The sequence below is a fragment of the Homo sapiens genome, chromosome 9 (assembly GCF_000001405.40).
Source record: "Homo sapiens chromosome 9, GRCh38.p14 Primary Assembly".
NCBI classification, from domain to species: domain Eukaryota; kingdom Metazoa; phylum Chordata; class Mammalia; order Primates; family Hominidae; genus Homo; species Homo sapiens.
Genome location: NC_000009.12, coordinates 125,877,341 through 125,892,960, shown reverse-complemented (window position 1 = coordinate 125,892,960; position 15,620 = coordinate 125,877,341). Strand labels below are relative to the sequence as shown.

The following is a 15,620-nucleotide window of genomic DNA, read 5'->3' as shown; positions in this document are numbered from 1 at the left end:
AGCGTAAATCAGGGGGAGCCACAGGGGAGCACAGCGAGGCAAAGACATTAAAGCCAAACCAAAGCCCTTCTTCACCCAAGCTACTATTATTATTACTTGTGCAAAGCAAATATTCAGCCTCCAAACCTAAATCATTTCAATTCCTATTTCCAAGTATAATTTAATCTCTTTCAGCGACACTTGATGCTTACTTCATCACAGCATAATGACAGATTAAAAAGTTGTTGAATTAAATATTAAAGAGGACTTCAGGCAGTTCTGCATTTTTAAGGAATAACACAGATTGGGGATGAAATGAGAAGCCCAAATGCATATTTTATACCAAAAGGAAAGAATACATATATTTTTCCTTCAGGCCACCTACTTTGTAATAAAACACAGGGCAGGTTTTATTTAGTGCATAAAAATGTGAAATAGTATCATAAGCTTCATATCACTATAATCTGGCACCATACAGTGATGTCAAAGCTAATGATACCATGTAAGAATATGATTTTTTTGGTGGGTATCTTATTTAAATATTTTTAAAATAAATATATTCATAATTTATCACTTCTGCTTTCTGATTTTAAAAATTAACTTATTTTGGAAATTTATCTCAGAGATAAAAATCTCACAGATGATAGCATCAAAAGCAAACCATTATGTAAATGATATTACGATACAAACTGTTCTGAATGGGTAGAAAAAAAGTTGAGCCATAGTTGTAAATACAGTTCCAATTAAAATGCTGATTGAGGCCAGGAGTGGTGGCTCATGCCTCTAATCCCAGCACTTTGGGAGGCCTTGGTGGGCAAATCACTTGAAGTCAGGAGTTGGAGATCAGCCTGACCAACATAGTGAAACCTCATCTCTACTAAAAAAAATACAAAAATTAGCCGGGCATGGTGGTAAGTGCCTGTAATCCCAGCTACTCGGGAGGCCGGGGCAGGAGAATTGCTTGAATCTGGGAGACAGAGGTTGCAGTGAGCCGAGATCACGCCAATGCATCCAGCCTTGGGGACAGAGTGAGACTCCGTCTCAAAAAAATTAATAAAATAAAATAAAATGCTGATTGAACAGGTAGGCCTAATTTCGGAAGCTCCCTTTACATACGGGTAAAATTAAAGATGAAATGCACATAATAGTAGTCCCTTAACTCTTAAATAGAATAGAAACAGAGTCAAAATACAAAATTCTGGGACTACATACTTAGGATATGTACAGATAATGATACATAGATACACATGGTTAAAATTCCAAGGGCTCATGGTTAAATGGCTAAATTTGGTATATGTTTTTAACTTTGTCATTTTTAAAGAATAGAGATGTTTTTCCTAAGGCTTAAAAGAAAACAAACTTTTGAATTTTTCTTTCATTGTGAGTTCAAGCAACGTAGTAGGAGAAAAAATTAACTCTATAAACATTTTATTCTATTTGTGTAACATCACATTGCAATCTTTTGTACATCCATACATTTTTACACAATGGCTGTAAGTACCTAAGTACTTTCCTCTCTGCTTTTTCATTTCATTTTCCTGTTACCAATACTGTCCATTTGACTGAACCTCACGGAACTGCCATTTTCTAAGTCACAAATGGTCAGATATCAACTTCTAATGATTTGGCATTCATTTTAGATAGTTGCATCTTTATATATTTCACTTGAGAAAATAAACGGTTATCTATAATAATAAATTGTAAGTACTTAAAAGTGACTTCTAAAATATGTATTATATGGGAAAGATCAATGTTTTCCTTATAGGCCAAGGAAGCAAATGTCATTTGTTTTTGAAAATAGTTCATTTTTGGAACCAGTGCATAGTACAAACGTCAGAAAAGAGTAAACATTTTTAAAGTAATACATGTTATCTATTTCATACATAGAAAGAAAGAAAAAGATAAAGGTACTAGACTGGTTTCTTCAGAAATTATGACTTTGGCTAGGACAGAGCTAAATGTTATCATGGTTGGCAACTACACATGGCCTTGAAAGGATGGCCTAGTTCCTTTTGGAAAAATTTTCAGTGTGATTGCTCCTGGCCAAATTTGACAGGATTTACTCATTAAATGCTGTGCACACAATCCTTTATTTTAAAGAAAAGCACAAAATATTACCATGGAACTGTTTTGTTAATCTAAAAAGGGGCAAGGCTTCTTTTTTTAATCTTTTCAAATCTCAGTGCTCTGTTGTTCTGCTGGCTCTGATATTTGGCTAGTCATTCCTTGCAAACATACAATTCTACTCCCACACAATTAGATGCATACACTACATTGTAGAAATACTGCACAATAATCTTTGCTGATATTCTTTAAAAGTATAAAAAGAATAGAGAAAGCACATTTATCCTCCCCACCATCCCCAATATTTCTTGACTAGAGCCAAGTCACTGGGGGTGGGATGGGGGAAGGCAGTGGTGACAACAGCAATCTTTCTATGGTGTCCGTATTTAAATCCTGGAAAGAGCAATAATTTTGGTTTTCTGGAATGTTTTCCAACCAGTAATAATGAGGTAATAATTTCCCATCACCTAGGACATAGTAGGTACTCAAAAAATGTTTGTACATTTAAATTCCCTGTGGAATTCCCTTTGGAATTCAGTCTCCCGTTGAAAAACACAACCATTAAGTTAGGATACTTCAGAGCCAATTACCGTGGGAAAACCTCCCAGATGATGTTTCATACTTATGGTGAAGGCTTAGTTATTTTTTTCTCAACCACCATTGTTTTGAAGCTGGTTGGGAATTTTTTCCTATCTGTTGAAAATGTTCACATGGTGGTTATGCAGTCCTCCTCTGAGAAACCGGAGTCGGCAGCAGCCCAGATGTTTGAAATCAAGAAAATGCATCCTCTACCATCGCCAGGCCTCAAATCAAGTTTCTGGTTTGGATTGGAAAAGCACTAACTTTGGGACCACGGAGAGGTTCTGACTTGCAGTGGGTGCTGACCCCAGGGCACAAGGTCGGCGGGCAACGCGCGTTCTCTCGGCCGCAGCCGGCTAAGGTCAGCTGCTACAGCGGGGCGCAGCCGGGGCCGCCGGCGCGGGGGACCGCTCAGGGCGCTCTGCCCCGCGGCTTTCGGGGCGCGCCGGGCAGCGCGAGCGCGGGCGGGCGTCGGGCGCGCCCATTGTTCTCGCAGCGCGGAGCCGCGGAGCGGCGGACGGCGATCCGGCTCCCCCTCCCGCGTTCGCGCCGGGAGGCCCCGCGGCCCGGCCCCGCTCCCCGCCGCGGCGCGCCCCCGCCCTGCTGGCTGACAGCGAATTCTCACCGCCCTGACTGCATAATTAATGTAAATGGAGCAGCCTCCGTGTCATGTGCGGGCTCTTTGGGTTTACTTTTGTGCGACACTTACACAGGAATATTAACTAGAGAAAGCAGCATCACAACAGGGGTGGAAAATCAGCCTGTCAGGGACTCATTGCAAATGCCACTGAGAGCGGAGCGGCTTCAAGATTGTTTCATCAAGGTGACTGAGAACAAAAACTACTGAGGAAAGAAAATTCGAGCTTAAACCGAGCTCCCATACATCCATTATTTATCGTTCTAGATCCTTTAGGAACGAGATTTCTAACACATCTTTATGCAGAACTCGGGACCGGAGGAAAGGGGCGAGGCCGCTGCGTGTGTGCACTGCCAAGCGAGCCGTGGCTCGGCCCGTGCGTGTGCAAGCGCCCCTGCTCCCCACGTGTGCAGACGCCCTTCAACAGCCCACAGCCAGAGAGGGAAAGGCCCGGACCAGGAGACAGCTCTCCACGGGTCAGTGAGTTATTCCAAGAAACCACGGGGATGTGGGCGAACCCACACTTAACTGAAATTAAGGCCTACGTTCCTGGGGATGCTAAGAGCCTTGCAATAAGGTGTCTGGTGTATAGGGCTGTTATCCACTTCCAAATTACGTTAAGGCCATTTTATTGTAATACGTGGTCACTGACTTTTCCCTTTCATAACCTGCTGTGGGTGAGAATACCTAAAAGTCAAAAGAGTAAATTCCCAAAGCATATTTTACACCCAAAAATGTACATTTTTGGAAAAACATTTTCACTTCATACTCATAATCATCCAGAATATTCCATATTGGATGTGTCCTCTTTTCCAAAGGAGCTGAAAAGGTGACTTCCCAAATCTGAATGCAGCCTGACCTAAATTAGCACCCAATCCTGCTTACACTTTCCAGTCCAGACTACTATATTGGCCTGCCATAAAAATTATTTTAAAAATTAAGAATTTATATCTCAAATATAAACAGTTACTAGAATTCATTTAGACTGAAACAGGGCATTATAAATTTATGAACAAATTAATTACCAGTTTCATTAATGCTGTTTTTATAATGAGTAAGTAATCAAGTCCAAAACTTTACTAAGTTTGTACCCAATCTAGGAGAGGAAATACATTAGAAAACAAACGGCCAAAAAAAAAAAAAGAAATATCAAATCGTATCCCTCCCAAAAAAATGCCATCAAGTGAGAGCATCTGTTTCTGGTAAAGCATGTATGCCGCCTCTCCTCTCCTACAGCAGAGTGACTTAATCCTGAATGTTCTCAAGGAATTCCTCCATACAAAGGGTCAATTGTATGCTACAGAATAACCTTACACGTATTTGTCTACTAAATGATTGAGAGCTAAATCCATCTGCATGTCTTTACTGGCTTAATTAAATATAGGTACAATAACTGAAAATAATTCAGTACACTACACGACAGAAGAGATCAAAATGGACATGCCGATCAAAAGGTTTACTTTAGACAGGAAGCAGCCCGTCAGACCATTATTACAAATTAAAGGTATTATATTCAAGTCATTTTTAATCTCTTAAAAATGAATAACCCACATTAAATCATTTTTCTCCACAGAGGTAACATTTCTTTTACGTCTAAATGCACATATTCCTCACCATGCTTCAGTTCTTTTACTAGTAGTAGAAGTCTATCTATTACACTTATCATGTAAGTCAACATTCACACCAAGTTTGGATTCCTCTCTCTTTACATGATATAACTGATTCATCACACATTTGCACTTAAGAAATGAGAATTCACAAGCTGATTATGCACAGTAATCTATCTCCTGAATCTCATTTTACTGCAGTAAAATTCTTATTGGCATTTTGTAGTTAATAACTTCTATATTAACAAATGCTGCTTTATGTCCAGACACTATGCTTGATAAACATGAGATAAATTTACCCTTACTTTCTAATAACAACTAAATTAGCTTTCTAATTCTGGAACTTTTTACTTTTAAGAACTTAAAATCTCATGTATATCAATTTTACTGTTTTTAAAAAGATACCAAATTTAGGATCAATACACAAAAAACAAAAATACACAGAAAAGTCCCTTGAGATACTGATGTGAAACCTGCAGCTCACTGATTCTGTTCTTGATAATATGTTGTTAAACTGGCAAACATGCTGACCTTGTGTGCAAAGGCAGAATTGTGCATACGCAACATAAAGTTAAAAAACAGCTTCAAAATGTCTGTTTAAAACTGTAGGCTACAAAACCTTAAAATACAGTCAGCATTCCATAGTTTATTTTAAATTGGCAACCACAATTTAACAAGCTATTCTAACAAATGATTAGCATAGCGTGTGCTTTTCTTTAGCCATCAATTATGACACAGGGTAATGCAGGGCACAACTTAAGTGTCAAATTACAATATGCTATACAAAACCACTTTGCAACACAGCTTTCTGTTTGCTTAGCAATTACTACAGAGCACACTGCTTTTCATGAAAGGAATTGGTCAGAACTGTTTATAAGAATTGCCACAAATGTTTATATATTTATATTATAAAGAATTAGTTGACAATTTCATAAAATTTCTCTTCAACAATTTAATAAAATGGCTGGGTTATTTATCTTGTGTTGGTTGAAAGCTGTGCATACAACCAAAATGGTCTGGGTTGTCTTCTTCTTAAAATGAGATTCTTCCATGATATGTGACAAAAGTAGAATAGTATTTTTCCAAGACCAAAGTATGAAAAGCCTTTTTACTAATTTGTCCACCAAAAAAATTAAAAACTTTTATTATATGAACTGCTGTATAGTGAAAATCTAAATTAGTGAAGTCTATAATCATTCTGAAGACAGAGTAATGTCTCTTTAAAATCTTCAATAAGGCAAACATGGATTTAAATGCAAAATAAAAAAATTTTTCAGAAATGTTGTTCAAGTTGTAATTTTCACACAGCAGTCACTATCTCAATACTTGATCTATCAGTGGTAAAAATGAATAAAGGTTATCTGTCTTAATTGTAGGACCATCCATTAATTCATAAAACTCTTATGTGAATAAATACTTAATGAGAAAAGGGAAAAAATACACAAAACAGTTTTTATGCTGGTTTTTTCCGTTCTGCTGCTGTCCTTTCTCCTGCATTTGCCTAAAGGCTCTCAGTAAATTACACTCCCAGTAAATGACTGTAATTTACCCGTTGAATTCCCTTGTTCAGGAAAAGCACAAAAACACATTCCAGCATTTCCACAGCTCAAATTTACCATTCGGGATGTCAAGAACAATCCATGGGCAGTAATTTGAAACTGTTTGAACCTTCAAATGAGGGAAATTAGAAATGTTTTGAGAACTAAGATTTTCAGTGAGGAGATAAAAACCTGATAAAAATCTCTTAACTGTTGTGTTCCTTTCTTCCCCCTCCCATATCAGAGGCAGAGGCCTATATAAACTATTCCACAGTGGGTTTTGAGACAGTGCTATAGAATATAGCATTAACAAAATAAGTCAAATTTACATTTTCTAGAATAGTTTTTAATGATAATATACACTACATTAATGTCACACTTAATATTAAAAACATAGATCCTGCTATACACTTTTTAATCACAACTGTTTCCCCATGCACTATCTACCCATCACTCAAAATAACTTCCTCCAGTACAACTTACATGAGCAAAGTTGCAAAGACTCAGGGCCCCAGGGATACCTAGCAGTCACTATTAACATTATTTTTATAAACAAGAACAAAGACTTTCTGTTTAGTTACATTTCAATACAGAGAAATCCCATGTACAAAGAAATGTAAACATTTACATGGGCCAAACCTAAATGGTATCATTTAATATTTTAATATTTAACACAGGCCAACATATAGAATAAACCAGCACAATCCCCAATGTAAACACTTATTGCTGTAAAACTAACACACACACACACACACACATCCCCTACAGTTAAGAACGTTCAATAACCAAAACAGCCTATTTCACTCTGTCTAAAGGCAGGTTTTCATATGGCAAAATGGTTATAAATCCTCATTATCCTAAATAAAATTACAGCACTTTAAACATTTCCAGGGAGAACATTCTCTCTTCTAAACAACTACCTTCGCGAGTAATAGGAAGCAATATGGTTGCACTTGTGTCACAGTTGGAAGCCTTTTTAAACTGTCGCCCTGCTAGCAAACTGATTCTACATATTAAAATGAATGTGTTGCTTATTTCAAGGGGAAAAATCATTTATAAAATCAAGACCATTATTAGGATATTGTGACTTACTTCCTCTTTAAAGTGAACCAGAAGTACAGACGGGAATAATCTATATATGTACATATAACTTCACTCTCTACCAATTTGGTCTTACAAGAAAAGATATTCTTGAAAAAAGAGGCTTTGCATATTTAGCATTTAATAACCTAAATAGCCTATTGCCCTAAATATTTATGATCACAAACCATAAAGGAAAGAAAAACTAAATTTCCTTTCTAGGACAAAAGGTGAAGTCATTACAAATATCTCCAACTATATGACAGACCTTTATAAAAACAATACTATGTATGTATTTTTATCTACTTTATCTGACAAATGCATCCTTTTCCCAAGAGTTGTGCTGGTATCAAGGAGCACCCTACTTATTATAATAGCTGTATGACTGTAACAGATTCATAATCTGGGTTACTTTAACAGTTGACCTAAGCTGAATTTGTGTGCCCAACTTCTTGTTGTGCCCTGAAGTTCAAAGAGAAAAATGAATGATAAACATTATCATTCAATGGGCAAATGAAGATATTTCTCATGCTCAAATTTGTAATTAATTATGAAAATACATTGAAAGTCATAATGATACTTCTCTCTACATGCTTTTATCTAGGTATACAATAGCCATATGATGTTTTTAATTCCCCATAGATGATGAAAGAAGTTATGCATCCCCAAATAAAGGATAAACATCTCTTACAAGGTACTTACAGGGAAGTGCTGCTCTCTATGGAGTGGTTGCTTTGCTTGTTTATAAAACACTCTTTTTAGATTCTTCAACACTAGTGTTTGTTGGCATTTAGTGTGAATGATTTAAAATTTTTACAGTCTCAGTCTTTCCTACATTTGGAGAATGTAGTCAATGAATATTTCCTGTATAATGTGTACTACCCATTGCTTAACTGGGAAAGGCAACTAGTAATAAAGTAATTAACTCCTCAACCAAGAGAGTATAGGTTTTGTTGTTCTTGATTGAAATTCTCTCAGTTTCTAGACAATCACATTATCTGCTTCATAATTGCAAACCTGGATGAATTGTTTCTAAAAGTTGCATCATGGCTCATGCCAACAGAACCTATGAATGCATAAAAGCTCCTGTTTCTAATGTCACTGTTATCAAGCCAAAAACAATTATACTCATTTGAGTTATGGCAACCAATAAACTTAGATAATCACCATATGCAACACAACATTTTGGCACTTGAACTTAAAACTCTTGTAGACAACTATAGATTGCTTCTAATGCAGAGCACTCTTGTCCTACCCAAGGCTGCCAATAGAAATGCCAAAGCTGCTGAATACTGCGCATCCTAGTAATGCTGTCAGTAAATGGCACATTCACACAGCCCCCAATCCTCTCTTTCCAGGCATGGTCTTCTCCAGCTGCAGCTTAATTTCCTGTGACTTGCCTAATTACTGTAATTAAGGATTAATTGCCATTAATTATTCACACATAAGCTCATCGCAAATCATGGGGTAAATGTCTTATGAAAGCTGCCATACAAGCCATGTATAAACACACTGGGATGCTTCAGGCAGGCGAATCTATCACTCAGCCCTCAAGCAAATCTCTGTGCTTCTCTTACAAAAACAGCTATAACTCTCAGAAACTCGACAGTCCTTTCAGGTAAGCATTAGGTTACAAAGCATGTTTTCCTGTGGAAGCCACATGGTTTTATTAGTACTATAAATGCTGTTTTATCTTTCCAACTGCTATTTTTATGTTTCCATTTTTATTCTACAGTGCTCAGTTTAGGACAACCACTTGCTTCAAGGAGGAATGTTTGCAGTTGCTACTTTCCCCATCACAGTTTGAAATAGTTCCATGTGGTTTACAACATATGACCATGCAACTGGGATCAGCGTGCCCAGAAAAAAAAAAAAAGTCAAGAGATTGGCTACGCAACTAGGATGGAAACCATTTGATTTTAATTCACAATTTCTGTCCTTGGTGTAAAAAAGTCATAGCACATATTTAGTTGTTGCTAGGGTGTTCCTTATAAAGAAGGTTACCAACTTGGCCATGAAAAAAAGTACCACTGACAAGAATGATTGAAAATGGCAAGAAAACAAAATAGCCTCGTATAGATTACTTTTGTATTACTTAGGTTCACTGTTTTCATGACAGTATCTGGTATTTTCACAATCACAAAATACAGACATCATTTCTTTGCCAAGCTAGAAAAGAAACTGTTTAAGTATTTCTGATAGACTCTGAGCTGATGAGAGAACTTACAAATCTCTAAAAATTGTAAGCCTAACACCTTTTTCTAGTTATCTAAGTTTACCGTGTTTGAATGTTTTAAAACACTAGAATTCATTTTAACAACAGAATAAATGATTGTATATATTAAAAGACTTAAACTACATCAACACTATGTATTATCGCTGCCCTAGGAAATTTAAATCTAAGTAGGCAGAATGTTATTCTAATTGTTATGTTAGTTCCTTCTGCAGCAAATTAATGTATGAAACATTTTCATTTTGTTACATGTTTGTGTGTCTTCAGTTAAACATTTATGTAAATGGACCTTCTGTCAGATTTCTAATGTTGCAAATACTTCTCTAAAACAACAACTTTTCAAATACATCATTTCAGAGTTCTTTTCCCCATTTTCTGCAGTATTTGAAACGGGGGGTATATAGCGACTAAAATAATTTCAGTTTAAAACCTAAGTTTAAAATACACTGCTTGAATAACTACAGACCATATCTACATGCAGGCAAAATACCAACTAGGCTTACAGAGCCATTGGCTATCCAAAATGAAGAAACTCAATATATAACTTCTACCATCTAATATCCAATTGACAACATGTATTTACAACACAATTTCAACCAAGTCTTAAGAGGAAAGAATAAACTCCTTCATTCTTTGGTTCTAAATTCAATTCTAAATCTGTTGAAGTATGCATGATTTCTGTAGTGATAAGAGAGCGTGTTTCCAATAACCTATAGCGCCTTCTTTACAAATACCCAACCACCCACTTAAAAAATAGAACCAATGTTAAATACCAGGCAGCTGAAACTACAAAACCAGAGAAGCAGCTCAGCTTTTATATATTTAACGTCTACTGCCGTCTCAAGTAATGAGAGATACACAAAGCCTGATAAAACTCTTCATTTGAGACACAAGTCTTTCTCTGTAACATTAGATTTCTAAAACTGAAATAATGTTTACAAAGTTCTAAACTTTTTCATTGCTGAATTACATCTGTAATCCAAAAACTGTAGTCTGGAATTTAGTAAAAAAAAAAAATTGTGAGACAGGGTCTCCCTGTCCCCCATGCTGCAATGCAGTGATCACAGCTCACTGCAGCCTCAAGCTCCTGGGTTCAAGCAACCCTCCCACCTCATCCTCCATAGTAGCTAGGATTACAAGCATGTGCCACCACACCTGGCTATTTTTTTATTTTTATTTTTATTTTATTATTTATTTATTTATTTTGCAGAGATGAAGTCTCATTATGTTGCCCAGCCTGGTCTCGAACTCCTGGCCTCAAATGATCCTCCTGTCTCAGCCTCCCTAAGTGCTGGGATTGCAGAGACTATAGGCATAAACCACTGCACCCAGCCCTTAGTAAATACTTAATGATAATGGATCCTCCCAAATCCACCCAATTGGACTACTCCTCCCCAAAAAAACATTAGAGCAGGAAATTATTAAGGCTCTTAAGGATTTGTAAGTCTAGACTCAAGGATTTCTATACATCTAAGTAATAATTTTAAAATTTGGCTTTGGGAGGCCAAGACAGGAGCATCACTTGAGGCCTGGAGTTCCAAGATGCAGGAGCTACTATTGTCCTACTGCTACACCCTAGCCTTGGACACAGAGCAAGACCCTGTCTCTATTTTTAATAATTAAAAATAATAATAATAAAATAGTAAAAAAATAAAAATTTGGAAACTAAATCAACAGGGAGATTCACAAAAATTGATTCTGGTAGAAATGTATAATTATATTGCCAGTGATAATGATGTAAAATTGAATTAAATTGGTGATGAGTTATTATTGTTTTTAAATTCTGCCAGAAGTTCAGTACTTTAACTTAGCTGTCAATTTACCAACTAATTCCTATACTCCTATCCTAGAGTCAGCAGCCAGTGACACAGAGAGCTGTTAAAATCTACCATCCCAACACACAGCTTTACAATCAATGTCATCTAATTGATACTTCCCTATTTTTGTCACCTTGCCTTGATGCCAGCTGCCAAGCTCTGCCATGTCACTTTCCATTTATGGACTCCCAAGTCCCTTGATCTGGCTAATTAGGGTTTATGTGTTAATTGGAGTAAATACAAAGATGAGAGTCACAGGCACAAATTTCAAAGCACAGCCATAAATTGAAGAGCTGATAAGCAAGGAAGAGATGCCTTCATGGAACAAGTGTCAAGTTTATTTTATCACTGGGAAAGATCCAGAATTTCCTGTCAAAGTGAAACCCTTAAGTTTTGAAAAGACTTAATGAGAAAAACATTAACTAACACATTGAGAACATTGCTCTATAGCAGTAAAATGCACAATACACCTAAATGCAGTTCAAGAAAGCATAACTCTGTTTTTAAAAAACTAGTTCTATTCAATAAGACAGTTTTTTATTTCTACTTTATTGCACAAAAAATGTACACCTTGCTTTTAATTTTTAGTAAGGAAACTCTAAAAGAAAATCCAGCATTTGAAAATCATGACACGATTTAAGTGAGAAAAATGACATTTTCATTAACATTTTGGATATATTAAAATTTTTTCTAAAAGATAACCGTTTGATTTTTAAATGATTACCACAAATTACAGCAAAAGATTTTTTGAATATACAGACTTAGAATACTAGATTTCAGATGCCTATCTTTAATGTCAGTTAAGACTGAAATTAATTTAGAAAAAGCATGATTTCTGTAGTAATCAGAGTGTTTCCAACACCCTCCAGAACTTTCTTTACAAGAACATTACTGTCAGCTGGAGACACTGCTATTTGCAGCACCAGGTGATGAAGAGAAAAGTCAGATAATTAATATTGAAAATAACTGGAAGTGCTGATCAAGCCTCCCTTTGCCATTTTGCTTAAGTGTAATGAGAGGAGTACTTTGTCTGTTGCACTGCTATGTCTGTTATAGCGACCTGAAATTAGTTAATAATAATGACGGTTGAGAACAGTGGCTCACGCCTGTAATCCCAACACTTTGGGAGGCCGAGGCAGGCGGATCACGAGGTCAGGAGTTCAAGACCAGCCTGGCCAACATGGTGAAACCCTGTCTCTACTGAAAATACAAAAATTAGTTGGGCGTGGTGGTGCACACCTGTAATCCCAGCTACTCAAGAGGCTGAGGCAGGAGAACTGCTTGAACCCGGGAGGCGGAGGGTGCAGTGAGCCGAGATTGCACCACTGTACTCCCGCCTGGGCAACAGAGTGAGACTCTGTCTCAATAATAAGAATAATAATGACAACAATGTCAACAACAGCTACTATTATTACTATTTACATTTTTATAGTTCTTTATAGCTTACAAAGAGCTTTTATGTATATTACCTGAAGTCTGGTAACTAACAGAAGTTAGGTAACATATAAAACATCTAAGGACTTTCCCAGAGAAAGTATTCAAACCATTTTCAGACTGATAATCATTTAGCTATACCAGAAAAACTCTATCTTCCAAAAGCATATTTGGAAATAATAAAAGGTATTAAATAATAAAAGGTATTAAAAATAAAAATAACTAGTGTTCACATCTATGTGGTGTTCCTCAAAGGATCTATTGAAGTAATAGCTTAATATTGGTGAAACTGGTACATCAATAATCCTCAATCTTCCCTTCCCTTTCTTAATGTCCTTTTAATCAACAAAATATGGCATTTATTCTTCTAATAATTTGTGATAACTTAGGTTCTACAATTTAAAGATTGTCCTGAAGTCAGCCCTATATTTCTGTTTTATGATTCTAACTTCTTTTAGTACTTTCAACCCACTTGCCACAAGTTTGAAATTAATCAACTTTTTCAGTAAACAGAAAAGATTTTGGAATGAAAAAAGACCTTTCCTATGGGCTATCATATTAAAAGCAAACTTATGTGTTCATATACCTTCTAATAAAGAATAGCATGTCTTTGGCCGGGCACGGTGGCTCACGCCTGTAATCCCAGAACTTTGGGAGGCCGAGGTGCGCTGATCACGAGGTCAGGAGTTCGATCGAGATCAGGTTGGCCAATATGGTGAAATCCCATCTCTACTACAAAATACAAAAATTAGCCGGGCGTGGTGGAGTGCACCTGTAGTCCCAGCTACTCAGGAGGCTGAGGCAGGAGAATCACTTGAACCCAGGAGGCAGAGGTTGCAGTGAGCTAAGATTGCACCACTGCACTCCAGCCTGGGCGACAGAGTGAGACTCCATCTCAAAAAAAAAAAAAAAAAAGAATAGCATGTCTTTGTAAAAGCAACATTCACTGGAAAAGTTTTGACAGCAGTGCTTAAGATTTCTGAAATATGTAAAATACACAAATAATTTCATTTAACTCCTTCCATGGGAAAAAAAAAATCACTCACTTTTAGTGATGTTGTCACTTAAAAGATATACACAAAAAAATACTTCAAGTTCCTACATAAGAAGGTGAAAATATCACATAACAACATCTGAGACCCACATCACCTCTTATATCACTAACGACTTTGTACAACTTTTTAAACAAAACTATCCTGTAACTTAGTGTGAGGTTTTAACTGAAAACCAAGCTAATTCCTACAAATTAACAGATGTCCCTGAGAAACAGTAAGAAACAAAGAAATGCATATGTGAACATCATCAGCATCCAAATGAGTTTATTGTAGTACTCTTTAAAGCACATCTGATCTTGGCTCCAGCCTGTAGTCTACCTTTCAACTTGCAAATGACAGTGTCACCAAACACTGTCCTTCCATCAATCAAGCTGGGTCATGAATATACAAAAGGCAGCAGAGAGGCTGGCTACCTCCTGCAGTTCAACTTGGCCTAATTATCTAGGCCTTTCTTTTGGTTACAGTCTGAAGGGTATACACCCAGTCAGCTGCTGGGCAGCCGGAGGCCTAATCAGGAGAGGTTATGCATACTGACCCTTATATGGACATCCAATGCAAGTTAAATGTGAGCACCAAATGTCATCTTTCTTATTCATCATTATGAAATTTCCCTCCCCTTTCGAAATACCAATCTGCTGCCATTTTCAGACACTCCTCTTACCCCCCTCCAAGCTGTCATTTCACTGTGCTTGCTGCCAGTTGAGTGAATTAGCATTCTAACTGATGTGCAGCTCTTCTCAGACAAATCCTTGAGCTGCGTTAACTAATGACTTCTCTCCAGAAAAAGGAACTGATAGTCAACCTTTGATAAAAGAGATTCCATTTCCACAAATCACAATTTACCATAATGGTGGCAAAATCAGTAAAGAGTACTATGGTTGTGCACTTTCCCTTGTGTTTTTTTCTCATTCCACTACCAAGAAACACCAACAACACTGAATGGAATATAAAGCTGCTAACTAGTCAGGTGCAGTCGGTATATGATGGTGAACTCTAAGCAAAACAATTTAATAACCAAAGGACTGGTGGGGTTGGGAAGAAGGCAAAAGATTAAGAGTAATTCTCATATCTCATCAAATTGAGGATGAATCTGGTAAGACAACAAACTGCCCCAGTGCCCAGCACGTGATAGGTACTCAGTAATTGTTGATGTTGTTGATGATGATATTAACGATGATACAGATGCCCAAATCTAAAGTAACAAGGGCCAGAAGTAGGACTGTAATGTGGAACTGAAGACAGGTTCAGATTCTGAAAATGTTATGGAGCATGATACGTAAAGTGGAAGTAAGATGAGAATAAAAGACTATATTGATAACTTGGGAAAAGGGGGATAAAAAAAGATTATATAGCGGTATAAAAAATAGAATATATTAGTAAAGAGAAAACTGAGAAAAGGAGAGATTTTATGGGTTAAGCATATCTCTTAATTTCTCTGTTTTTACACACTTACGTAGCTCTTTGATATACACAACAAAGAGCTAATGCCATCTGGTGTGACAGAAGATACTACAATGATTTATAATGCCACAAGTCCTAGAAGTACTAGAAAGCCATATCTAGCTGAAATTGCAAACCCAAATAGATTTGTCTAAAA

The 15,620-nt window shown here is 36.8% G+C and overlaps 1 protein-coding gene across 12 annotated transcripts in view, besides 3 other annotated features; it reads right to left on the bottom strand.

The window, feature by feature from the left end:
• PBX3 (PBX homeobox 3) overlaps positions 1 to 15,620 on the bottom strand; it is a 220,005-nt gene that overhangs the window by 74,417 nt on the left and 129,968 nt on the right. The gene's annotated exons all lie outside the window — the stretch shown is intronic.
• Positions 3,010 to 3,229: a silencer, noted in NCBI's record as "silent region_20284". NCBI's record gives its function as "represses an Ori minimal core promoter by ATAC-STARR-seq in GM12878 lymphoblastoid cells {active_cell/tissue: GM12878}" and the evidence as "EXISTENCE:reporter gene assay evidence [ECO:0000049][PMID:35858748]".
• Positions 8,143 to 9,778: an enhancer, noted in NCBI's record as "VISTA enhancer hs1017". NCBI's record gives its function as "enhancer in: forebrain[7/9]" and the evidence as "EXISTENCE:transgenic organism evidence [ECO:0001131][PMID:17130149]".
• Positions 14,053 to 14,646: an enhancer, noted in NCBI's record as "OCT4-NANOG hESC enhancer chr9:128640594-128641187 (GRCh37/hg19 assembly coordinates)". NCBI's record gives its function as "activates a minimal SCP1, AML or CMV promoter by ChIP-STARR-seq in naive and primed H9 embryonic stem cells {active_cell/tissue: H9 hESC(naive and primed)}" and the evidence as "EXISTENCE:reporter gene assay evidence [ECO:0000049][PMID:30033119]".